Here is a 25,780-nt window from a genome sequence, read left to right on the forward strand (position 1 = left end):
ACCTCCGCTTCCTGGATTCAAGTGATTCTCCTGCCTCAGCCTCCCAAGTAGCTGGGACTACAGGCGCGTGCCACCACGCCTGGCTAATTTTTTGTATTTTTAGTAGAGACGGGGTTTCACCATGTTAGCCAGGCTGGTCTCGAACTCCTGACCTCAGGTGATTGACCCGCCTCGGCCTCCCAAAGTGCTGGGATTGCAGGCATGAGCCACCTCATCCGGCCTAATTTTTGTATTTTTAGTAGAGATGGGGTTTTGCCATGTTGGCCAGGATGGTCTCGAACTCCTGACCTCAGGTGATCTGCCTGCCTCAGCCTCCCAAAGTGCTGGGATTATAGGTGTGAGCCACTGCACCTGGCCACATGGAGTCTTTCTTGAGAGAGAAGGTCTGGAAGGGATCAGGGTTTATAGAAAGTGCTAGCATGTGGATTCTCTGAAGACCTGGTTCCCCCCAGCTGGGAGGCTGAAAAGTCCAAAGCTCTCACTGCCCTCTAAAACACCCCCTCCCCAGTAAACTTCTCACTGCTCACTGATGGTTGCAGGTCAGCTGAGGGCACAAGCAGAGGACAGACACCTGTCACTGGGTTTGGTGAGAGGAAGCTTCAGCTACAACTTTGGGGGATGACAGAAGGCAGGGGTAGGACTCTTCAGGGGAAGTTGGGCTGTAAAGGGAGGGGAGAGACTGGATGGTAGGGGGTTGTGAGGGCCAAGCAGTGATTTCAAGGTGGGGGCTTGTAGTCTAAATGTAGGAGGAAAAGAGAGCTGGAAGGAGCCAGGTCTTTAAGGAGGAGGGGTTGGGGACGAGAAGGTGGTGGGGGTCAGGGAGAGGAGGGAAGAGAGGGGTGGCGGCTGCAGGTTCCCCAGGAGGCAGCAGGTGCCTGGATGAAGCACTCTGATAGCGTTTTTGTTTTTTTTTTTTTTTTTGAGATGGAGTTTCGCTCTGTCACCCAGGCTGGAGTGCAGTGGTGCGATCTCGGCTCACTGCAGCCTCCGCCTCCCGGGTTCAAGCGATTCTCCTGCCTCAGCCTCCCGAGTAGCTGGGATTACAGGCGCCTGCCACCACGCCCAGCTAATTTTTGTATTTTTAGTAGAGACGGGGTTTCACTATGTTAGCCAGGATGGTCTCGATCTCCTGACCTCGTGATCCGCCTGCCTTGGCCTCCCAAAGTGTTGGGATTACAGGCGTGAGCCACGGTGCCCGGCCTCTGATAGCTGTTTTTAATGCTTCCTCCCCCCACCCCTCAAGGGGTTTGGGGGAACTCACATCCGTGTTGCAGGAGCGGTGCCGCCTTCTCTCACCCAGACAGTACTTGCCCCCGATGGTTGGCCTGGAAAGGGTGGTGGGATAGGAGAGGGATGAGGCAGTGGGCGATGGGGGCAGGGGTCGCGCTGCCCTCCCGGGTGGGGGTCCTGAGGGCTGACCTGGGGCTGTCGCAGTGACGGCTAGAAGAGGACACGCCGCCGCCACAGGTCCGGCTGCAGTCGCCCCATGGAGTCCACGGCCCCCAGGCTCCGTCCACACCCTCTGGGCGCGACCCAAAGGGGACACAGACCCGTTTGTAGCACCACTGGGTGGGGGGAGACAGGAAGGAGTGAGTCCAGCCCGGAGGACACTCGTCGGCCCCATGCACCGTTCCCCACTCCAGGCCCCAGCCAGAGATATCAGCCTCTCCGGGATGGGCAGAGGCGGGGTCTGAACATGCGAACAGAGTCAGGTTACGTAGGAGAGTGGTCTGGGAGACAGACCAGGTACAAGCGAGAGGCGTGGCCTGAGCACAGGGTGCTTAACGGGGAGGGGTGTAGACAGGACCACGATAAGCGTGGAGACGAGGTGGGGCGTGGCTTCAGGCTGGGGAGGGGAGGTCTACAGGCAGTAGGCGTGGCCAGAGCCGAGGGCAGCACAGGGGATGGGCGTGGCCAATGAGGGAGAGAGCAAACAGTAGGCGTGGCCAGAGCCGTGGGAATCATTACACGGTGGGCGTGGCCAACGCGGGAGGGAGTTAAACAGTAGGCGTGGCCAGAACCAAGGGACGCATAGACGGTGGGCGTGGCCAACGCGGGAAGGAGCAAGCAGTAGGCGTGGCCACAGCCGAGGGAGCACAAATGGCGGGCGTGGCCAATGTGGGAGGGAGCAGATAATAGGCCGAAGGACAGGCGGGTAGGCGTGGCCAACGCGGGAGGTGGCTCAGGGGGCGTGGCCCAGTTGGGGGCCCTGGCCGGCGCTCACCCCCTTGTCGATGGTGTGCGTCTGGCACAGCGTGCCCTCGGCGGCCGGGATGCTGTTGGTGATGCACCGGTTGCTCTTGCTCAGACACCACAGCTCGCTGCAGACCTCCTGCGGGCCGAGGTGCCCGCTCAGGCTCGCCCCCCTCCCTTCCTCCCTGGGGCAGCCCGCCCGGCTTGGGAGGACCCAGATGTCCGGCTCACTGCCGGTCCCAGAGCAGAGAGCCCGGTGCTCCCTTCCTGGCTCGCGGTGGGTCTTCGTGCATCCCCTTGCGGGGCATGGCCTGTGACTTATACTCTCCCAATAAGCTCCATTTATGGAGCACTTTATACATGCCATATACCTCTTTAGGCAGTACTACCCCATCTTACTGGGAGAAAACCAAGCTTCAGACAGGTAAGGTCACACAGCTACTAAGGGAATAGCCTGGAGTTTAACCCAGCTCTTTAATTCAGAGTCTGTGCTCTAACGAACTTTGCAATTCAGTTCCTGGTGCCTTCTGAGTTTCTGGAAGGAAACGTGGGAACTGCTGAGGAATGAACAGGAAGGATTTGGGGTTCTTTTATGGGATGGGCAAAGTAGCCGAAGAGAAAGTGGTGGTTCTGAGAAATCGGCCTGGATGATGACTAGGCCAACGGCCTCATCTCTAGTTTTTTCCAGCTGTTGGTTCTCTTTGTTCCCCCATCTAAACTGGAGAAGCCCCCAACACTTTTAAGCTATGTGGAGGGGTGGGAGTTTGGGAGGGGACAATGCCGAGTTAGGTCTGTGTGGGACATGCCTCTCTTTCTCCAGGTGAAAAATCAGCCCCACCTTCTTCCCGTCTGAATCCTGGATGGGCTGAACTAGTCCCAGGGACTCACTCTGACTCTTAAAGTCCAGGTTAATATCCCTGGAGAAGCCCCAGTGAGTTCAGGTGAAGCAAAATCTCTGACCCTCTTGGCCCACATCCTAAGCAACCTCCCAGCGTCTTTCCTCTAAAAAGTAGGTGGTCCTCTCTGACCCTCTTGGCCCACATCCTAAGCAACCTCCCAGCGTCTTTCCTCTAAGAAGTAGGTGGTCCTTCTGTAATTATCAAGTGTAATCCCCGCTTTGAACCCAATTCTTGTAAGCTTTCCAGATGTGGGACTGGATCGATCAATGGCCACAGGAAAGGACCCTTCCTAGGTCAGCCCCTGAGAGATACCTGTACATATGTAAGAAGCTGGAAGAGTTGTTCTCAAATACATTCTCCCTCAAAGGTCCTCTAGAATCTCTGCCTTCTGCCTTATAGAGGACATTTCTCAGCTAAAAACTCAGACTGTGTCCTCTTGGCCATATCTAAAAATATCACATCAGTCCTGTCGCAATCCCACTTCTGACACCTCTTCAAGATAATGATTTCAGCTCTGCTTTTGTCCTCCTCTCCACAAGGAGGCACTGTGGCATATTTGAGTTGTGCAGAGACCTCAATTCTGCTACCAACTTGCAATATATTTCCCCTCTCTGGGCCTCAGTTTACTCATCTACAAGATGGGCAGCCTAATGCCTGTCTTGCCTATATAAATGGCTATGAGGCACGTGACAGGATAGATAAGAAAGGACTTGCACCAATGCCATTATGGGGTAACAATGACCACCACTATCTCTGGACCAGGCACCAGGCTGAACCCTTTACATATATTAACCAGTTCACATTTAGTAAATAAATCCCCCTTTGCCAAGATGGCCTGAAAGATGTTCCTTCAAAAACTAAAAGGAAGGCTCAATTCAACATATAGCCAGTGCCAGCCCAAGCTTGATATTTTGACAGCTCCTCCCCTCCCCTGCCCCTTTGTAAAATTTAGAGAGTCATGAGAGACCTGGATTTAAATCCCAGCTCTGTCATGGTCTCAAACTGTGGCCTTGGACAAGTCATCCTCCCTATGCTATGGCTCAGTCCCTTCCTCTGTAACGTGGGGGCTAGCAGGATTGTCAGGAGTTTAGATGGTGACACACAGCACATGCTTAGCCCATAGTGAGAGCTCAGTAAATGTCAGACACCATGATCATTGTTAGGATACCTGGGTCACAGCAGATGTTGAGGAGTAGCTTCAGAATTCTTTAGGAATTCCTTAGAGGGTGCTGCAGTTACCAGCTAAGTTAGGATGTTGGGGGGTGTCAAGGGTGGAATGTCAGTGAAATAGAAATTGTTCCAGGGTTTGTCTCTGTCTTGCAGTGGAATGAAGGGAGGGCAATTTGGCAGCTGCTTGCCCTCTGCTTTGCATTAACATGGCATCACAAAAACTCTGATCGTTTGAGTTGTGATAGTGTGAAGAACTGGGGCTGAACCTGGGCCCCTAGGGCTGAGACTGTGAGGAGCTTAGGGGTGCATTTAGGGAATCGAGGCAGGTGGGCAGAGGAGGAGCAGATCCTGGCTGAACCTTGGTGGCTGAAGCAGGAAGCCAGCAGGTCTTCAGCTTCCTGGGGGGAGCTGGGAGTGGAACCTCCTGCCCCCCAATGCCCTTCTCTATGCACGAATGGGGCTTTGGGAATCTAAACCTCAGGAAAGGGTGGGGAGAGGTCAGGAGGCTCAGAGCTCCTCCAGACAGGGAGTCCCTGGAAGGTTCTGTCTAGTTCTTTGCCAAGTAGGAAAGATGGCTCATCCCCAGGGAAATTATTTCCGTCAGGACTGGATGTTTAGTTAAAAACTGCCCCGTGAGAGGTCTTGAGACTTTGATCCTGCTGTAGCCCACAGGGGGTGTGATGTGCCAGACAGAAGCTGGCCCCCCAGCCCAGCCCTCAAATCAGGGGTCTGGAGAAGCAGGTGATCCCATTTTTGTTCCCAAGCACTGTCTGATTGCTTAGGACATTTTGCACACTCCATGCACCTCTGTCCTCCCAGGTCACCATGGGGGCTCACCTCACCCCCCTTCCCGGTTCTCCCACCCCCTCACTTCCCAGGTGGGTGCCCTGGTGGAGTTCCCTCCCCCAGCCCCAGCGGCCCCCTCCCCTCCCAGGAAGGAAAGCAGGAAGACTCTCTCTACCCCGTATTTACACTGACGCGATTTGACTCCATGCTGAAAGCGGCATTGCTCATCTGCATCGTAGGCTTGGCCCGGTGCCACTGTCGGGTACACAAAGTCCTGTCTGGGGGGCCGGTTGTTCAGGCAGAGCCCCAGGCCCGAGCTGCCTCGAGAGAAAAGCAACTGTCATGCTAGGTGGCTGCAAATCAAGAGCTCAGGAGCCTCAGCTGGATGGGGGTCCCAGGGAGCATCCCTGATTTCTATCGTCTCCCGTGTACCCTGCCCCACCATGAGTGTGACCCGCTCTGAGGGACACCCAGGTGCATCCTCACTCTAGAAAGCTGGTGATGTAGTCACGGCTGCAGGATGACCACACGAATGGGTTGGTCTTCATGGTAATGTGGGCAGCCATGAGCTTGGCTGGGTCCTGACCACGGGCCCCACAGCTGTTTCCCACGCCGTCATGGTTCATGCCGAATCTGGGGAAAGGGGTGTCGGCTCTGCCGGGCGCTGAGGGACCCGCCCAGCTCCTCCCCTCCTCCCCCTCTTGTGTGCCCTGGCCTCACGTGTGCCCGATCTCGTGGGCAATGGTGAACGCTGTGGCCAGGCCAATGTCCTCATTGACGCTGCAGCTTCTCTCGCGCTCACACATTCCGCCCACCGGGGCCAGGCCTGGGAAGACGGACATGTGGGGATGGGGCTGGGAGGCTCAGGACGGTGCTGGCTGGCCCCATCCACCTGCCAGGTCTCACCCCAGCCCACTGCCTTCATAGGCGCCTGAAACCTACGGGGCTCGGGTACCTAGTGTGCCGCAGGGTTTGTTCTTGTAGATGCAGATGTCATAGCTGTAAAAGGAGACAGGGTCAGTGAGGGGGCTGGGCTGTCTCCCTAAGCCCTGCTGATGCCACCATGCCCAGCTCTGGGGGTTGAGTCCTGCCTTGGAGGCGCCATCTGCCTCTCACCTGAAGCTGCATACAGGAGTGACTGACCACATGAATGAATGAATGCATGCATGCATGCATGAGTGGGAGAATAAGTGAATGAGGGCATCGGTGCCCAAATGGTCCCAAACCTCCCTTACCCATTATTCTCAAGCAGCCCCTCCCCATCCCTGGCTCCCTCATGGGCAGCCCAAACTTCTCTGCTCCTCCTGACCCTAGCAGAAGTGATCTCTGTTTGGACTCTCATGGTTCCCTGGACCATCTGTTTTCTCAGCCCCAGTCCTAGACCTCTCCTGTCCCCTCACCGTGTGATGAGCACTGCTGTGTCATGGTTAGCCACACCGTTCTCTGGAATGGCATTGCCATGGCCGCTGTGGTTCACGATGGATTTCTGCCACTTACAGAAGCTGTCCAGGGACTTCCCGGCATGGTGGGTGATCTCCAGAGTGGGCTGGGGATGGACAGAGGGAAATGCATGGGCACCCACCACCCAGGGGACGGCAGGACATGCTGGTATGAAGGGGAAGGGGAAGGGGAGGAAGTCCCCCGCACCTGGTCCTCCGTGAGCAGGATGAGGCGAGTTACGAGGATGTTAACGGTGCTTCCCAGACTCGAGTCCTGGAAAAGTTTGGCAACCTGACCTCCAAGAAACAAGAGAGACCGAGTCTTAAGAGGAGCCCAGGGTAGAAAATGAAAAGCAAAAACAATGATAACAGCTTGCTTTCATCAGGCACCTACTGTGTGTCGGGTCTTAGGCTAAACCTGCTATTAGGGTTTTTTGTTGCTGTTGTTGTTAAAGATGGGGGTCTTGGTATGTTGCTCAGGCTGGTCTTGAACTCCTGACCTCAAGTGATCCTCCTGCCTGGCCTCCCATAGGGCTGGGATTACAGGTGTGAGCCACCATGCCCAGCCATGTATCAGTCTTTTCATGAATAGGTAATATTTGCTGTTGTTACTATTTGTTGTTGTTGTTTTTTGAGATGGAGTCTCGCTCTGTTGCCCAGGCTGCAGTGCTGCGGTGCAATCTCAGCTCACTGTAACCTCCACTTCCCAGGTTCAAATGATTCTACTGCTTCAGCCTCCCAAGTAGCTGAGACTATAGGCGCACATCACTATGCCCACTTAATTTTTTTTTTTTTGAGACAGAGTTTTGCTCTTTTTGTCTAGGGTGGAGTACAATGGTGTGATCTCAGCTCACTGCAACCTCCGCCTCCTGGGTTCAAGCGATTCTCCTGCCTCAGCCTCCCGAGTAGCTGGGATTACAGGCGTGAGCCACCGTGCCCAGCCATGCCCGCCTAATTTTTGTATGTTTAGTAGAGACTGGGTTTCACCATGTTGGCCAGGCTGGTCTTGAACTCCTGACCTCAAGCGATCCTCCTGTCCTGGCCTGGCACAGTGCTGGGATCACAGGTGTGAGCCACCATGCCTGGCCATGCATCAGTCTTTTCATCAACAGGTGCTATTATCATCCCCAATTTACAGATGAGGAGACATGCAAACAGAGGTTAGGACACAGCTGGTAGGTGTCAGAAGTGAGACTCAAGTCTGGATTGCTTACCAGAACATTTCTTTCAGACTCCTCCAAGCTCAGCTTATCTACTTGTCCCCCAACCCCTGCTTACCCCCCTGACTGCCTCAAGCATCTTTGTCCAGAGGCGACCTGAGGGATATACATGTCTGAGTTCATTCCACAGCTGTCTGAAGGTACCAATTTGCCCATCACCACAGGAAAGTAAAACTGTGAGGGCAGGAGGCTCTGGAGACAGTGGTCAGAGGAAAGGAGGAAGCAGCCCCAGGGATGAGCTGGCACAGAAGACAGAGGCCAGGCTGTGCAGGGATCTTGGAACCCTGGGTAATCATTTCCCCGTCTGGAAATCCCCAGAATTTTTTTTTTTTTTTTTTTTTTTTTTTTGGAGATGGAGTCTCACTCTGTTACCCAGGCTGGAGTGCAGTGGCGCAATCTTGGCTCACTCACCTCCACCTCCCGGGTTCAAGCGATTCTCCAGCCTCAGCCTCCGGAGTAGCTGGGACTACAGGTGCCCGCCACCACGCCCAGCTGATTTTTGTATTTTTAGTAGGGACAGGATTTCACCATGTTGGCCAGGCTTGTTTCGAACTCCCGACCTCAGGTGATCCACCCGCCTCGGCCTCCCAAAGTGTTGGGATTACAGGCGTGAGCCACTGCACCGGGCTGGAAACCCCCAGGAAATTCTGAAAGCCCTAGGGAGAGAGGCCAGGCTCAGGCACAACTGAGGGCCATCAGAGACGACACTACACAACATTTTGGACCCTCTGCCTGTCTGCTAAACTTTTTGTTTTCCCTTTTGCTTCAGTGAAACAAGAGCACCATTCATCAAGCCCTTACTATGTGCCAAATAGCCTACCTGGCTTCCCTTCCACCAATCCTTACTCTCTAGGGTAGCTACCATTATATCTCCATTTGATACACTGGTACGCTGAGGCTTAGAGAGGTCAAGAATCTCGCCTGAGATCTAGGATGGAAATGGACTATATCTGAAGGTGGGTTGGGGAGGTCAGCCTGTAGGAATTTATAAGTAGGTGCTTGTGCAAGAATGCTGCGTGAATACGGATGTGTGCCTGTGTGTGTACTGCTAACCTCAACGAGTACCTGTGAGCTACCTATCTATCATCTATCTATCTATTTTGAGATGGAATTTCCCTCTTGTTGCCCAGGCTGGAGTGCAATGGTGCGATCTTGGCTCACTGCAACCTCTGCCTCCCGGGTTCAAGCGATTCTCCTGTCTCAGCCTCCCAAGTAGCTGGGATTACAGGTGCCCACCACCACGCTCAGCTAATTTTTGTATTTTTAGTAGAGACGGGGTTTCACCATGTTAGCCAGGCTGGTCTTGAACTCCTGACCTCAGGTGATCCACCCACCTTGGCCTCCCAAAGTGCTGGGATTACAGGTGTGAGCCACCGTGCCCAGCCTACTGCGATTTATTTATTTATTTATGAATGAATGAATGACAGGGATTATAACCCACTGCGTCTCAAACTCCTGGGCTCAAGTGATCCTCCTGCCTCAGCTTCCTGAGTAGCTGGGACTACAGGCATGTGCCACCATGCTCTGCTAATTTTTAAATGTTTTGTAGAGACGGGATTTCACTATGTTTCCCAGGCTGCTGTGTACTTATTTTTTTATTTTTTTTTGAGACAGAGTCTTGCTCTGTTGCCCAGGCTGGAGCACAGTGGCGTGATCTCAGCTCACTACAACCTCCACCTCCCTGGTTCAAGCGATTCTCCTGCCTCAGCCTCCTGAGTAGCTGGGATTACAGGTGCCCGCCACCACGCCCGGCTAATGTTTTGTATTTTTTAGTAGAGACGGGGTTTCACCATGCTAGCCAGGCTGGTCTTGAATTCCTGACCTCAAGTGATCTGCCCACCTTGGGCATGAGCCACTGTGCCCAGCCTGTGTGTATTTTTACACACAGCAAACACTTATATGCCACCTACTGCATGCCAAGAACTGTTCTACATGCTTTATGAATGCACTGGATCTACCTTAGCTTTATAAAGTAGGTACCACAATTATGCCCATTTTACAGATAGGTAAGACAAGGCAGAGAGGTGAAGTAACTTGCTCAAAGGCAGACAGTTAAAAAGTGGCAGAGCGGAAATTTAAGCCCAAGCAGGTTCCCTCTGCCCCAGGGCACCTCTGCATCTAGTCACTGTGCTTATGCTCTTTCTCCTCCTCGTTCATTGCCATATGCAACCAACCTACCTACCTACCTTCCTTCCTTCCTTCCTCTCTCTTTCTTTCTTTTCTCTTTCTTTCTGTCTTTTCTTTTCTTTCTTTTCTTTTTTTTTTTTTTTTTTGACAGAGTCTTGCTCTGTCGCCCAGGCTGGAGTGCAGTGGCGTGATCTTGGCTCACTGCAAGCTCTGCCTCCCAGGTTCACGCCATTCTCCTGCCTCGGCCTCCCGAGTAGCTGGGACTACAGGCGCCCGCCACCACACTCGGCTAATTTTTTGTATTTTTAGTAGAGATGGGGTTTCACCGTGTTAGCCAGGATGGTCTCCATCTCCTGACCTTGTGATCTGCCCGCCTTGGCCTCCCGAAGTGCTGGGATTACAGGTGTGAGCCACCGCGCCCGGCCTGCAACCTTCCTTTCTACCCCTGTCCCCACGTCAGGGATTGGGGTGGGATGGTAGCCACCCCCTTGCCTAACACTGCAGGCTGGCTCCAAGTCCTCAGGGCTGCGTGCCCAGGGAGGGGAAGGCACTTACAATGTTCATGATGGCCAGGACATACTGCTCCACATCCCGGCGCCCGTGATAGGCCACCATCATCTTGTCAGCCACCACCAGGGTCTCCACGTAGCGCTCTCGGCTGACCGATCGCTTCAGGCCTGGCTGGCCACGCTCTGTTTCATTCCCCAGGGGCCTGGCAGGCGGTGGCTTCAAGGTCCGCAGCCACCATGGCCGCCCTTTCCACGGTTTCTCATCTGGGGAACCCAGTAGAGCAATTAAGCCCTGCCCTGCTGGTGGGACGCAGAGCTGCCTGACAACTGTCTTGTCCAACCTCTGACTGGCTACCTCTCTACCCAACAGTCTGGACAGACAATTTCTGGTCATTCTGCTGCCTTCTCTTGTTGTCCAGCTACCTGTGTGATGGTCTGTCTGCCCAATGGGCTGCCAAACACCTCATCGTTTTTCTTATTCTTTTTTTTTTTTTTTTTGAGACGGAGTATCATTCTGTCACCCAGGCTGGACTGCAGTGGTGCGATCTTGGCTCACTGAAACCTCTGCCTCCCAGGTTCAAGCGATTCTCCTGCCTCAGCCTCCCGAGTAGCTGGGATGACAGGCATGTGCCACTATGCCTGGCTAATTTTTGTATTTTTAATTGAGACTGCATTTCACCATGTTGGCCAGGCTGGTCTCGAACTCCTGACCTCAAGTGATCCACCCGTCTCAGCCTCCCAAAGTGCTGGGATTACAGGTTTGAGCCACTGCGCCTGGCTGCCTCATTGTTTTGTCTATAGGGCATCTTGGCGGTACCATCTCTTTTTTTTGTCAGTGTCCTACTACCTGAGAATATTGTAGTCTACCATGATGTCACTGTCCCTCTGCCAAACTGTTGAGTTGAATAACAGCCTGACTTCTCCCACTGTTGGTTGTATGGCTGTTCCACTGCCTGTTTGCCAACCTGTTCAGCTACCAGCCTGCCCCGCTGCCCAAATGTCCAACTGAACACTTGCATGACTGTCCCACAGCTAAGCTGGTTGGTTGAATCACTGTCCCATGATGACCAGCATGATTGTACAATCCACTGACAATTCCACTGCCCGAATGGAATGGTGTGAACCAGCCTGTTTTGCAATTTGAACTGTGTGCTTGGACAACGTGTTGTCCTTCTAGCTGAGCAACTTTCCAATCAATGCACTGCCCAATTAGATCAGTTAGTTCTAACTGCATTGCAGTTAGAACAATCATACTGCCTGATGTACTACAACCAGATGGTCTCATGGACCACCCAACTGTGACATCGTACGTCATCCACCTTTTTTCTGTCTGTACTGCTGACTGTGGCTGTATGTCTACCACAGCATCCTACTCATAGAGTATCTGATTATATACTTAATTCAATATCACACTGTTCTGCTTTTCCATCTAACATTCATCTGATTTTCTTTTTTGAGACAGAGCCTCACTCTGTCGCCCAGGCTGGAGTGCAATGGCGAAATCTCAACTCACCGCAACCTCTACCTCCCGGGTTCAGGCGATTCTCCTGCCTTAGCCTCCCAAGTAGCTGGAATTACAGGTGTGTGCCACCACGCCTGGCTAACTTTTTTGTATTTTTAGTAAAGACGGGGTTTCGCCATGTTGGCCAGGCTGATCTCAATCTCCTGACCTCAAGTGATCTGCCCATCTCGGCCTCCCAAAATGCTGGGATTACAGGCGTGAGACACTGTGCCTGACCCTGATTTTCTATATATATATTTTGAAACAGGACCTTGCTCTGTTGCCCACGCTGGAGTGCAGTGGTGTGATCAAGGCTCATTGGAGCCTCAATCTCCCTGGCTCAAGTGATCCTCCTGCCTCAGCCTCTCAAGTAGCTGGGACTACAGGAGCACACCACCACACCTGGCTTATTTTTTCTATTTTTGGTTGAGATAGTGTCTCACTATGTTGCCCATGCTGTTCTCAAACTCCTGGGCTCAAGTGATTTTCCCGCCTCAACTTCACAAAGTGCTAGGATTACAGGTGTGAGCCACCATGCCCGAACTGACCTGGTTTCCTAGCAGTACGATTGTGTTGGTAAGTATTTTGTTGGTGTATAGCTTTCCTTCTCTCTCATTTCTTAAATGCCTGATTGTACAACCATCCTCCTACCAGTCTGATCGTAAATCTGGCCTTTTGGCTGTATAACTGCTGGAGTATCTGATACAACCACCACACCGTCTAACTGTCTGATCAGATGATAATCCTAGAGAAGGAATGGTTTTATACCTGAACACCTTTCTGGCTGTCTTACTCAGTGCTGGGCTAGGTGACTATAGCAGGGATAAGATTATTCCATAGCTCCACTGGTTCGCCGTCTGAGGATATGTCTCTGCTGTCCCCTGGATAGAACTCCCTATTTTTTCTTTTTGAGACGGAGTCTTGCTGTGTCGCCCAGGCTGGGGTGCAATGGCGTGATCTCTGCTCACTGCAACCTCTGCCTCCCGGGTTCAAGTGATTCTCCTGCCTCAGCCTCCCGAGTAGCTGGGATGACAGGCATGCGCCACCACGCCCAGCTAATTTTGTATTTTTAGTAGAGATGGGGTTTCGCCATGTTGGTCAGGCTGGTCTTGAACTCCTGACCTCAGGTGATCCGCCCACCTCGGCCTCCCAAGGTGCTGGGATTATAGGTGTGAGCCACTGCACCCGGCCGGAACTCCATAATTATATCACTGTGTCCCCTTCTCAGCAGCTCCATTCTTCCCCTCACATAACTGCCTGCTGACTTTCTGGATAAAAAGACACTGCTGCCTCAAGGGAAAGATACTGTGTAGCCCTCTGCCCATCCCCAGAAAGACCGATGTACCTCTCACTCCACAGGCTGTGTCCAGGTGGGGGTGACGCAGAGAGGAACGCTTGTACACCACATGTGGTCCACTTTCCTCCGGGCTCCGAGAACCCTTGGGCCCACCGTGCAGGGGCTCAATCAGGTACTCTTCCTCGTCTGCCACGATCAGGCCGTGCTGGGTTTTGAGAAGTGGGATAGAAAGCTCTCAGGATCAGGTTCTGGAGCTTAGGACCCCTGGGACCTTCTCTCTGTCTTTATGATTTCATTCTTATCAGGTTTATTTTGCTATTTCTTTTTTTTTTTTTGGCATAGGTAATTAGTGTCCATGCTATTTATTTATTTATTTATTTCTTCTTTTGGAGACAAGGTCTTACTCTGTCATCCAGGCTGGAGTGCAGTGGTGCAATCGTAGCTCACTGCATCCTCAACTTCCTGGGCTCAAGCGATCCTCCTGCCTCAGCCTCCCAAGGATCTGGGACTATAGGAGCACACCAATATGTTTGGCTAATTTTTAAAATTTTTAATTTATTTTTCATAGAGATGGGGTTCCACTATGTTGCCCAGGCTGGTCTCGAATTCCTGGCCTCAAGTGATCCTCCTGCCTCGGCCTCCCAAAGTGCTAAGATTAAAAGCATGAGTCAGCATGCTCAGCCTCTAATTTCTTTTTATTTTAAAATTATATATGTGTGTATGTGTATAGTATGTATGTATGTGTATACATACACATACACATATATAATTATATATTATATATATTTATAAATATAAAAAATATATATATATATTTAAAGAGTCAGGGTCTTGTTCTGTCACCCATGCTGGAGGGCAGTGTTGTGATCTCAGATCACTGAGACCTCCCCCTCCTGAGTTCAACTGATTCTCCCACCTCAGCCTCCTGAGTAGCTAGGATTACATACACATACCACCATGCCTGGCTAATTTTTATATGTATTTTTAGTAGAGATGGGGTTTCACCATGTTGGCCAGGCTGGTCTCGAACTCCTGACCTCAAGTGATCTGCCCGCCTCACCCTCCCAAAATGCCAGGACTACAGGCATAAGTCACCATGCCCAGCCTCGAATTTTTTGAGATTGATGTTTAGCTCATTAATTTTCAGCCTTACCTAAGGCTATACATTTTCCTTTAAGTACTGCTTTAGCTGCATCCCCAAAGCACTGATTGGCTCAAAACACTTAAAAAACATCCCACTATCATTCCTTCTCTGCCCTCTATGTAGAAGTGTTTTTCTTAACTTCCAAACTTATGGGCATTTCCCCCCGCGTTCCAGAATCCTCAGCTCACCAGGCCTCCACAGGTGCTGATGGCCACATGGGAGCTGCTGGCCTGGCCCTGCAGGTGACCAGCGTAGAGGCAGTGGGGCCGGGCCGCCCTCTGCCAGGCCAGGCCCTCCCGTGTCCAGTACTCCACGGAGACGTGCCCTGCCAGTAGACGGGAGCTGCGGGTCAGGTTCAGCAGGAAGTGGGTGCTGGGCGAGGCCACTTTGTAGAAGAGGCGGGACTCGGCTGTGGCCCCCGTGCCGCGGCGCTGCCTCCGGGGAGGAGGTGGCGAGAAGGCCAGCAGTGCCCCGTTGTGGTCCACGCGGGTGGGGAAGGCGATCTCATAGCTCTCCAGACTGGACAGGAACTCATCTGTGGGTGAGGGTCAGAGGCCTGGGGTGGGCCCTGGTCTTATTGGACCCCTGTGTCCTGGCTGTTAGGCTGCTGGAGCAAGTGATGCTGGCCTCACTGACCCCCGAAATCCAGGGAGTTGGCTGCAAGGCTCCCGCCTATTGACCCCAGGGCCTTCCCCCATTGACCCCCATCCCAGCCCCCTGATGCCTCTTTCTGTTGGAGCCCAACTGGTCTCTTACATTTTTCGCTCCCTCCCCACCGCCACCACCAGACTTCCCCTACCTTGAGACCGGAAGGCGTGCGTGACCTCGAACATGAGGCCCAGCCCCAGGGCGAGGGCCCAGCGGAGGATCTGGCAGGCGGGAGCCATAGAGGCCACGTGTCCACATGTCTCTCCCCAGCCCCGGCTGCCGGCAGCCCCCACAGTGCCGCCTCCCCTGTTCACAGCCTTCGCAGCATCACCGGGCTCCTGGGAGGGGGGAGCCAGGTAAGGGGGCGCCTGGTCCCGCTGTCCAGCACAACCAATGCCAAGGCCAATCATGGCCAAAGCTTTTCACCTGACTCTGAAGATTCTGAATGCATTTTCTCACTCAGTCACTCCCCTCTCCCCACCTCCCCTTCCAATCCTTCCTACACTCCTACAAGAGGACAGACAGGGACTGGGACGCTGGGAGTATCTCCTATGTGCCAGCTACTGGCCCTAGTTTTCACACCACTGCATTTCTGTTCTTTTGTTAAGAGACAGGGCGTTGCTCTGTCACCTAGGATGGAGTGCAGTGTTGTGATCATAGCTCACTGCAGCCTCCACTGCCTGGGCTCAAATAATCCTCCTGCTTCAGCCTCCCAAGTAGCTGAGATTGCAGGTGCAAGCCACCACACCTGGCTAATGTTTTTGTTTTTTTGGAGAGACGGGGGTCTCACTTTGTTGCCCAGGCTGATCTTGAACTCCTGGCCTCAAGGGATCCTTTCACCTCAGCCTCCCAAAGCACTGGGATTACAAGCATGAGCCACTGCACCCAGCCCACCGTATTTCATTTCCAAAATAACTGAGAAGTCATGGTCATCACGCTCTTTTTTTTGAGATGGAGTCTCACTATGTGACCCAGGCTGGAGTGCAATGGCGCAATCGCGGCTCACTGCAACCCCCGCCTCCCGGGTTCATTTGATTCTCCCGCCTCAGCCTCCTGAGTAGCTGGGATTACAGGCACGCATCAACACGCCCAGCTACATTTTTGTATTTTTAGTAGAGATGGGGTTTCACCATGTTGGCCAGGCTGGTCTTGAACTCCTGACCTCGCATCACACTCGTATCCCTCATCTTTTTATAGATGAGGAAATAGACTCAGGAGTGATAGAGTTTGCCGTGGGTCACATTGCTAGAAAGTGGTAGAACCTGGGTTCATTCATTGGGTTATAGCCTCCGGTGGAGGGTGGACGGGGGCATGACAGCCAGGCATGCTAAGGATAGCAACCCCTACTTGCCCTAGCCCTGTGGGGTTCCATCTCTTAGGAGTGACAGATGACAGTCAAGTGAATGGAGAATAGTTCAGATTGTGACATGTTCTCTAGAAGGTATCAATGGGGAGACTGGGAAGCAGAGGTTCAAAGCATAAGAAATCAATGGTGTGAAGAGACAGGCGAAGGTGCACCAGGAGGGGAAACAGCAAGGTCAAAGGCCTGGAGGTTGGGTAGAGCCTGGCATGAGCCCAGACAGGGTGGGTGCAGGAGAGCAAGGGGAGGCTGGCATCAGAGGCACTTGAAGGGGGGGCTGGTCGGTGTGAATTTTCAAGCCAGATTAGAGCTAAGGCTCCCACCCATGCATCTACTGTCCTGGGCCCTGTCTTTGGATTATCTGAAATGGGTAGCACCATTCAAGCCAGATTTTTAAAGCTAAGGCTAGTATTCCAGTCCTGCAGACTTTCATATGCCCACCCACGCACCCACTGTCTTGGGCCATCTTTGGATTCTCTGCACTGGGTAGCACTATTCACTCCCACCTCCCAGGCCTCTCCTCCACCCTGTGTTTCTGACCCCGTCCTCCATTCAGATTCTTTCAAGGCTCCAAGCCAGCCCGCCCCGCAGGTCTCAGTCTCTCCAGCATCTGCCCCAGGCCAGCCTGCCGCAGACACCACTTTGGGCCACCACCCTGTGCCAAACCCTCTTCCCCCACCCTGCTGTCTCCACCCTCCTCCTCCTCTGTGCAAAATCCCTTAATCACAGAGTCTTGTTTTCTTTGCAGCCCAGCCAAGTCTGAGAGTCCAAGTCTGAGAGTCAATCCCCAAACAGGGCAGTTCAGCCCCAAGGGAGGGAGCCAGGTTTTTGCCAAGTTGCTGATGGACCAAGAAGCCCACATTCCCCACTTCTGCTTGGATCCCTCTAGTGACGGGGAGCTCACTCACAGATATTCTGTGACCCCTGTTGCACTCTTTAGCTGGGCTAATGTCCATTCCTTCTGTTGTTGTTCTCTCTCTCTCTCTCTCTTTTTTTTTGAGACGGAGTCTCACTCTGTCGCCAGGGTGGAGTGCAGTGGTGTGATCTCTGCTCACTGCAACCTCTGTCTCTCGGGTTCAAGCGATTCTCCTGCTTCAGCCTCCCGAGTAGCTGGGACTACAGGTGTGCGCCACCATGCCCAGCTAATTTTTGTATTTTTAGGAGAGACGGGGTTTCACTATGTTGGCCAGGATGGTCTCGATCTCTTGACCTCATGATCAGCCCGCCTTGGCCTCCCAAAGTGCTGGGATTACAGCCGTGAGCCACAGCACCTGGCCTCTCTCTCCTTTTTATTTTTTTTACCTTTTGGGGGCTTCGGTTGGTGGAGTAGTGTTGGGCCCCTGTACGGATCCTTCCCTCGCCTGCTCCCTGCACCTGGGCCTCCCTCTCTGGGCCTTGGTTTCTTCTTCTTTGGAGCCTGGGCAGGGAGGGGTCAAAGAGGAGGAGCCGGGCTGGTCTTCAGCACTGAGCTGGGTCTGTAGTTGAGGGATCACTGAGGAAATTCTGACCCTCTCTCTGCCCCTGGAGAACTTCCTCTTAGACTTCTTCTTTCTTCTGTTCCTAATGAACCCCCTCCAACAAAAACCCACCTCCTCTCCCTCTCCCTCTCTTCTTGCTTCTTCTTCCCTATTCCTTCTTTGGAAGTGTCAGCCAACTCCCAGATCAAGGCCCTTCCTGGTTGGGCACCTCTGACCCCCGCTCCTGCCCTGAGCCACCCCTGAAAGGTAGGAACATTCTCATTGCAAGTGAAGCAGGGACCTCACCCCTTTCTCCCACTGGCTCCCTCCCTCCTCTCCTGTTCTTGCATTGCCAGGCCTGGTGCCCCATCCTCCTCCTTCAGGGGCTCTCTCTGGTCTTGTCTAGAGTGTCTTTGGGTCTGTCCTGGTCCCCCTAAGACCCTCAGTCCTCATCACTGTCCTCTGAAGTGAGGCGCTCCTCCCAAAACCCTCACACCCCCTTCTGTGCTTTGGGCTCAGGTGGGGTGTGAGGGACAAGGTTTGGGACATTGTGGAAGGACCCAGCACAGGGGGTGAGGACAGGGGAAGGGGACTCACCTGTGCACAGTGTATGGGGTAGGGGGAGGAGGGGGGTCTGCAGAAGGCTCACAGGCGTCTGAGCTGGGGGTCCAGCCCACAGGGTGGTGTCGAGGTGTGACACAGCCCAGGGCACCAGGTGGTGGGGGGACATGAACAAGGCAGTGGGTCTGGGGCCAAAGATGAAGCTTGAGAGAGGCTCAGGGACAGAGACGGTGGTGGCCAACAGGATGTCAGTGAGGGATCTGCACTGTGGCGTGTGTGTGTGACTGCATGTACATTACAGCATGTATGTGAGTGTGTGTGACCCTGTGTGTGATTGTGAGCGTGTGACTGCATGTGCATTATGGCTTGTGAGTGTGTGTGACCCTGTGTGTGTGTGTGTGTGTGTGTGTACCCAGGCCTGGCCATTCCTCCAGCCCCTCCTCCCCGAAGGCAGGAGGGAGGTGGCCAGCGTGGGGGAGGGTGCCAGGCCTGGAGGAGGAAATGCCTCCGGGAAATGGAAATGGCTTAGAAACAGAGGCTCTGTCCCATCCCATCCCATCCCGGGGATCCTGAAGGGACCCTAAGCTCCACACCCAAACCTCTCCGGCCAGGCTGCGGGGACAGGGCCGACGGAAGGTCCCCCGTGGAGGCCAAGGCCGCGTCTCCCCAGGCAGAGGCCCCAGCCTGCCGGCCTCCTCCCGGCTGCACATCTGGCCGGGCCGGCAGGAGGCAGTCCCTGCCGGAGAGCAGACAAAGGCCCAGCCGGGGCCTGCGGGAGGAGGGGGCCGGCGCCCGGGCTGGTCCCCCACAACCGGCCGCTAATTAAAGGCCCTGAGCCCGACCGCTGGAGACACCCTGAGACAGACGGCTGTGGCCTCACTGACCAACTCAGGGGAAGTGGGCGGCGCCACTCCCACACCCAGACACACAAACACACACTGGCAGCGACACACACCCCGCGCAACCAGAGACCGGCGCTCGGGCACTGTAGACCCACAAAAGACGCAGGACGCCTCCACCGCAGACACACACGCCGACAGGCTCAGTGCACACTCACACACCCGGAGACAAACACATGGAGACACACAACCACACACTCCCAGACATGTGTAAACACACACTCATTTACACGCGCACACACGGGACAAGACAGAGAAACACGCGGACACACAAATACACGCACCCGGGGCCTACACAAACAGAAACACACACATACATACACAGACAACCCAAGGAGACAGACACACAGGCCTACACGCTGACACATACACACTCATTTGCATGCTCACACCAAACCAGAGACAAACTCACAAGTCCCACAGACCTAGACACCCCCCCACACCAGACACACACACACAGGTATTTACACACTCATCACGGTCAGAGACAAACGCACACATGCTTGGGGACACACACACAAACCCAGACACACACACACTCGCCTCCAGATCTGCGCGCACATAGCAAACCCCTATGCGCACACACTGTCCAAACACACAGACACACAAGAGACTCATCCCCAGGCACTGACACACACATGTAATGCACAACCACTCTGCCCCTACGTGGACGGACACACACACACACACACACACACAGCGCAAACAAACCCACGGCAACCCCGGGCGTGATCAGTGGCGCGCGCACTTGCGGACCTCAGGCACCGACCGGAGTCGCACAGCGGGATGCCCTCCCCCATCCAGGGCACCACAGCCCCACGCCCTCACAGCCCGATGCGGACACACAAAGTCCCACTGAATCACGCACCCCCGGGCCCCCCGCCCGCGCCGCTACCTGCGCCGCGCCCGGGGCCTCCGCGCCGTCGCCGCCGCTGTCTCGCCGCCCCGCGCGCGCAGGAAGGGAGGGAGCGAGCGAGCGCGGCGGCGTGGCCAGGGGAGGGGGCGCGGGGAAGGCACTTCCTGAGCCGCCTGCCAGGGTTATAAAAAAACCCCCAAACTGCGCGCGGCCAGAAACCCCGCCCGCCTGCCGCCGCCCGGCCTGGGCCGCGGGCTGGACCCCAGCCAGGGACCCGGGAACTCGGGCCGCCCCGCCCGGGACCAGCGCCCCCGCCGCGTGGGAGGGGGCTGGGGAACCGCGGGGGGCGGGGAGGGGACGAAGCGGGAGAAATCGAGTGGCGGCGGGGAGAATGGGTGGGGGAGGGGAGAAAGAATCAGGTGGGGGATGGGGATGGAGGCAGAATTGGGTGGGTGGGGGTTCGGGGAAAGGGAGGAAGAGAAGGGAGAGGTTGGGGGAGGGGGAAGTTTGAATGGGAAGGGGTAGGGGGAGATGGAGGCCTGGAGGAAGGGGCTGAGTGAGGTGGGGGGAGGTGGGGGCCTGGAGGAAGGGCTGAGTGGGGTGGGGGGAAGTGGGGGCCTGGAGGAGGGGCTGAGTGGGGTGGGGGGAGGTGGGGGCCTGGAGGAAGGGGCTGAGTGGGGTGGGGGGAGGTGGGGCCCTTGAGGAGGGGCTGAGTGGGGTTGGGGGAGGTGGGGCCCTGGAGGAGGGGCTGAGTGGGTTGGGGGGAGGTGGGGGCCTGGAGGAAGGGGCTGAGTTGGGTTGGGGGCCACGGGAAGGAATGGAGGGGGGTAAGGAATGGGGCTGGAGGGGGGATGGGAGCATGAGATGCTGGGGTTGGGGAGGGGAGAGCCCACTTCCTCGCCAGCCTCTGCGGCATCAACAACAGCTGTTATTTATTGAGGGCTGGGCCTGGCTCAAACAAGCATTTATTGGGCGCCTCCCGTGTGCCAGGCACGGTGCCCGGGGCGGGAAATAAGTCCCAGCTCGGCCCCGCCCTCTCCGAGCTCTCAGGGGGGTTTGATCGGTCCTGGGCCTGGCCTTGGTCTCTGTGCCTTAACTCCTTTGCGGTGACGTAGGCTCAGCTGGTCCCATTTCACAGATGAGGAAACTGAGGCCACAGAGATGGGGAGAGTGAAAATTCTGTTGGAACCGGAGCCCTCTTGGTCTTGGTCACTCTGGGTCTCGCTCCATAAAATGAACGAATGCGTGAATGAGGAGGACCTGGATGGTTGGGGCAGGGCTGGGATTTGAATCCCAGGCGCCTGGTACAGTGCCTGGTTCCAGGGAAGGGCGGTGACCCCCAGGCCTCACAATTGCAGGCATTTCCCAGGAACGCCCCCCCCCAGGGAGCTGGCCAGAGCCTTGGCCTTGGCTTTGTCTGAGTCTGGGTTTACTCATCCACACAGTGGGGGTAATAACAGCCTTCCCAGGGCTGGAGTAGGGGGTGGAGGAGGGGTTTCATTCTGCAGCAAAGATTTGTTGTTATGTGCTGGGTTCCAGGGACACAGCTGAGACCAGGAGGGCAGCTTCCCAACTCGGAATTTTTCCTTTTGAACTTGGAATGACCTGTCATTACTCACGCATACAGCAGGTGCTGCATAAATACCAGACTCCTGGAGTTCCCACCACACTACCTTACCCCAACCTCCTGGGACTCCAGGCTAGACCAGAGGTGCAGCCCCCACCCTCCTGTTTGCTCCCCACACTCCCTCCTTCCCACCAGGGCCTCTCGGGCCCCCATTTGAGGAACGAGTCTAAGTCAGCCATTTCTGGCCTCTGTTAGCTGTTCTTCTACTACCTATGGGGCCCTCTTTCTCCATCAAAGAGGTGGTGGCTTCCTTTCTTTGCTGTAGATACTAAAGGCTCCCACTGTTAGCCTAGTGACTGGTCCAGCCACCTGTCCCTACTTTTTTTTTTTTTTTTTTTTTGAGATGGAGTCTTGCTGTGTTGCCCAGGCTGGAGTGTGGTGGTGTGATCCTGGCTCACTGCAACCTCCGCCTCCCGGGTTCAAGCAATTCTCCAGCCCCAGCCTCCCGAGTAGCTGGGTTTACAGGCACCTGCCACCATGCTCGGCTAATTGTATTTTTAGTAGAGATGGGGTTTTACCATGTTGGCCAGGCCAGTCTTGAACTCCTGACCTCAAGTGATCCGACCACCTTGACCTCCCAAAGTGCTTGGATTACAGGCGTGAGCCACTGCACCCAGCCCACCTGTCCCTCCTCTTAAGGATGGGTGGTTTCCAGACCGCACTGGGAATTTCAGGGTTGCTTTGAGCCAGGCGCTCCTAGGTTCTGGCACTCCTAGGTTCTGGCACTCCTAGCTGTGAAACCTCTCATTATAATTACTCTGTGAAACTTTGACAGTTCTACACCCACTACTTCCCACCACAGCCCCAGACTTCACTGGGGTGGGGGGGTCTCTTTATTTCCTCAAGGGCGTGTGGCCCTCTAGGGCCTGGCCGATTGTTTAGGGGATGCACCTTCCCCACCTGAAGCCTCCAGTGAGCTGTGTTGAGGCATTTGTGATGAGTCTTGGGAAACAAACTTTTGTGTCTTTTTCTTTTTCCTTTTTTTTTTTTTTTTTTTTTGAGATGCAGTCTCGCTCTGTTGCTCAGGCTGGAGTGCAATGGCGCGATCTCGGCTGACCACAACCTCTGCCTCCTGGGTTCAAGCAATTCTCCTGCCTCCGCCTCCCGAGTAGCTGGGACTACAGGCACGTGCCACCACGCCTGGCTAATTTTTGTATTTTTAGGAGAGATGGGGTTTCACTATCCTTGGCCAGGCTGGTCTCAAACTCCTGACCTCGTGATCTGCCTGCCTCGGCCTCCCAAAGTGCTGGGATTACAGGTGTGAGCCACCACACCCGGCCCTTTTCTGTCTTTTTCTTTTGAGACAAGATCTTGCTCTGTTGCCCAGGCTAGAGTGAGGTGGTATGATGATAGCACACTGCAGCCTCGAACTCCTGAGCTCAGATGATCCTTCTGCCTCAGCTTCCTGAGTATCTGGGACCACACATGTGAGCCACCATGCCCGATTAAGTTCTTTTTTTTTTTTTTTTTTTGAGACAGAGTCTTGCTCTGTCGCCCAGGCTGGAGTGCAGTGGCGCGATCTCGGCTCACTGCAACTTCCACCTCCCGGATTCAAGCGATTCTCCTGCCTCAGCCTCCCAAGTAGCTGGGATTACAGGCATGAGCCACCCACGCCCGGCTAATTTTTGTATTTTTAGTAGAGATGGGGCTTTGCCATGTTGGCCAGGCTGGTCTTGAACTCCTGGCCTTAAGTGATCCGCCCACCTCAGCCTTCTAAAGTGTTGGGATTACAGGTGTGAGCCACTGTGCCTGGCCTCAAATTGTAGAGACAGGGTCTCTCTCTGTTGTCCAGGTTGGTCTTGAACTCCTGGCCTCAAGCAATCTCCCTGCCCCGGCTTCCCAAACTGCTGGGATTTACAGCTGTGAGCCAACAAGTCTGGCCTGACTTCTGTGTCTTGAGTGGGATGGATTTGAAGCTGAGTCCCTATCTTAGACAACAGAGGGAGGCCTCTTATAAGAATGAAGCCAGCTGGGAATGTGGGTTCACTCCTGTAATCCCAGCACTTTGGGAGGCCAAGGCAGGTGGATCGCTTGAGCTCAGGAGTTCGAGACCAGCCTGGACAACATGGCAAGAGCCCATCTCTATTAAAAAATACAGAGAAATAGCCAGGGCGTAGTGGTGCATGCCTGTGGTCCCAGCTACTCGGGAGGCTGAGGTGGGAGGCTTGAGTCCAGGAGGTGGAGGTTGCAGTGAGCTGAGATTGGGCCACTGCACTTCTGCCTGGGTGATGGAGTGAGACTCTTTCTAAAAAAAAAGAGAAAAAAAAAGTTAAGTAAATAAATAAAATAAAAATAAAAAATGAACGAAGTCACCAGATGGAGCAGATGGAGGAGAGTAATGGCCTTGGGGCCATCATCATTTGAGCCCTGAGCAAGCTGTTCCTGAAGCCCATAGATGGGCTTTAATCCAGTCACACTCTTTATTGAGCACTATATTGTATCAGGTGCTGATCCAGGTACTGGGGACATGGCAGGAACAACAATCTCCATCCCACAAAGGTCACCGTCCTGCCTCAAGGCCTTTGCACTTGCTGTTCCCTGTGCCTGGAACACCCTCCCTCCCCAACCCCCTTATTCCATGGCCAGCTCTGTTTTGTCTTTGCAAATTTTTTTTTGTTTTTGAAACAGAGTCTTGATCTGTCACCCAGGCTGGAGTGCAGTGGCGTGATCTGTGGAGTGCAGTGGCACGATCTCAGCTCACTGCAACCTCTGCCTTCTGGGTTCAAGCGATTCTCCTGCCTCAGCCTCTTGAGTAGCTGGGATTACAGGCGCATGCCACCACGCCTGGCTAATTTTTGTATTTTTAGTAGAGATGGGATTTTGCCATGTTGGCCAGGCTGGTCTCAAACTCCTGACCTCAAGTGATCTGCCTGCCTCAGCCTCCCAATGTGCTGGGATTGTAAGCGTGAGCCACTGCACCTGGCCATCTTTCAAGTTTTGACTCAAACATCGTTTCCTTAGGGAGGCCTGCACTGATCCCCTCACTTCAACATGACACCCCAACGGGCTTCCTTTCCCACTCCCTGATTTATTTTACTCTTAGTGTGAGTCACTACTGGACCTACTCTATGGAATACTTATATCTGCTGGCTTCCTGTGTCTCCCACCGGAATGCCGGCTCCGTGAGGGAAGGGGTTTTTGTCTGTGTGGTCCACAGCAGTATCCTTGGTGCCTAGCAGGGTCTCACCCACAGTTAGTGCCCACCGTTGAATAAATAGGCTCACTAGTAAATAAAAGGGCTCTCAGAAGAGGTGACAATGATGTTGTGGTTTGAATGTTAAGAAAGAGAGCCTGTTACTGGAAAAAAAAAAATTAGCTGGGCATGGTGATGCGTACCTGTAGTCCCAGCTACTTGGGAGGCTGAGGCGGGAGGATCACTTGAGCCAGGGAATTCGAGGTTGCAGTGAGCTGTGAACATGCCGCTGTACTCCAGCCTGGGAGACAGAGTGAGACCCTGTCTCAAAAAAAAAAAAAAAAAAAAAAAAAAAAGAGGCAGTGTGAGGGTGAAGGCGTTCTAGGAGGAGTGCACAGTAACTGCAAGGTTCCTGTGCCCATTCTCTTTTTATTTAAACCAGTCTGGACTGACTTAAAAGAAAAAATTGTTTTTCAGATTCTTTGCAACCTTTAGAACCCGGAGTGGTTGTGCCTAGGGATGCAGTACTGCAGCTCTGCCACAGGAGGGCGCAATGGAACTCCATTGTTGCCCTTGGAAAGTAGGAACTAGGAAAATAGAAGTAATGATAATCGGCAGGGCGCGGTGGCTCACGCCTGTAATCTGTAATCCCAACATTTTGGAAGTCCGAGGCGAGCGAATCACGAGGTCGGGAGTTTGAGACCAGCCTGCCTAACATGGTGAAACCCCGTGTCTACTAAAAATACAAAAGTTAGACGGGCGTGGTGGTGTGCACCTGTAATCCCAGCTATTCAGTAATCCCAGCTACTCAGGAGGCTGAAGCGAGAGAATCGATTGAACCCGGGAGGCGGAGGTTGCAATGAGCCAAGGTCGTGCCACTGCACTCCAGCCTGGGTGACAGATTGAGATTCCGTCTCAAAAAAAAAAAAAAAAAAAAAAAAGAAGAAGCAATGA

General features: G+C 54.1%; 1 protein-coding gene across 9 annotated transcripts in view, besides 2 other annotated features; it reads right to left on the reverse strand.

The window, feature by feature from the left end:
- ADAMTS10 (ADAM metallopeptidase with thrombospondin type 1 motif 10) overlaps window positions 1–20,177 on the reverse strand; it is a 30,476-nt gene extending 10,299 nt beyond the window's left edge. For 2 of the 9 annotated variants that reach the window (NM_030957.4, XM_047439481.1), the window contains exons 1-15: window positions 20,106–20,177; window positions 17,596–17,710; window positions 15,085–15,271; window positions 14,474–14,820; window positions 13,190–13,346; window positions 10,390–10,607; window positions 6,696–6,779; window positions 6,449–6,594; window positions 6,004–6,047; window positions 5,769–5,874; window positions 5,535–5,681; window positions 5,224–5,365; window positions 2,225–2,332; window positions 1,420–1,565; window positions 1,262–1,325 (exon numbers count right to left, since the gene is read on the reverse strand). In NM_030957.4, coding sequence (NP_112219.3) covers window positions 1,262–1,325; window positions 1,420–1,565; window positions 2,225–2,332; window positions 5,224–5,365; window positions 5,535–5,681; window positions 5,769–5,874; window positions 6,004–6,047; window positions 6,449–6,594; window positions 6,696–6,779; window positions 10,390–10,607; window positions 13,190–13,346; window positions 14,474–14,820; window positions 15,085–15,172 — 1,797 coding nt within the window. In that variant the 5' untranslated portion in view covers window positions 15,173–15,271; window positions 17,596–17,710; window positions 20,106–20,177. Of the gene's footprint in view, window positions 1–1,260; window positions 1,326–1,419; window positions 1,679–2,224; window positions 2,333–5,223; window positions 5,366–5,534; window positions 5,682–5,768; window positions 5,875–6,003; window positions 6,048–6,448; window positions 6,595–6,695; window positions 6,780–10,389; window positions 10,608–13,189; window positions 13,347–14,473; window positions 14,821–15,084; window positions 15,272–17,595; window positions 18,335–20,105 lie in introns of those variants that run through there. The other 7 variants (XM_017027338.3, XM_047439480.1, XR_001753770.2 and 4 more) reach the window with 6 other exon arrangements.
- Window positions 1,263–1,861: an enhancer, noted in NCBI's record as "H3K4me1 hESC enhancer chr19:8656685-8657283 (GRCh37/hg19 assembly coordinates)". NCBI's record gives its function as "activates a minimal SCP1, AML or CMV promoter by ChIP-STARR-seq in naive H9 embryonic stem cells {active_cell/tissue: H9 hESC(naive)}" and the evidence as "EXISTENCE:reporter gene assay evidence [ECO:0000049][PMID:30033119]".
- Window positions 19,075–19,497: a silencer, noted in NCBI's record as "fragment chr19:8674492-8674914 (GRCh37/hg19 assembly coordinates)". NCBI's record gives its function as "represses an EF-1alpha promoter that drives an FKBP-Casp9 reporter gene in an ReSE screen in HepG2 liver carcinoma cells {active_cell/tissue: HepG2}" and the evidence as "EXISTENCE:reporter gene assay evidence [ECO:0000049][PMID:32094911]".

This window comes from Homo sapiens, chromosome 19, assembly GCF_000001405.40.
Source record: "Homo sapiens chromosome 19, GRCh38.p14 Primary Assembly".
Lineage (NCBI taxonomy): Eukaryota > Metazoa > Chordata > Mammalia > Primates > Hominidae > Homo > Homo sapiens.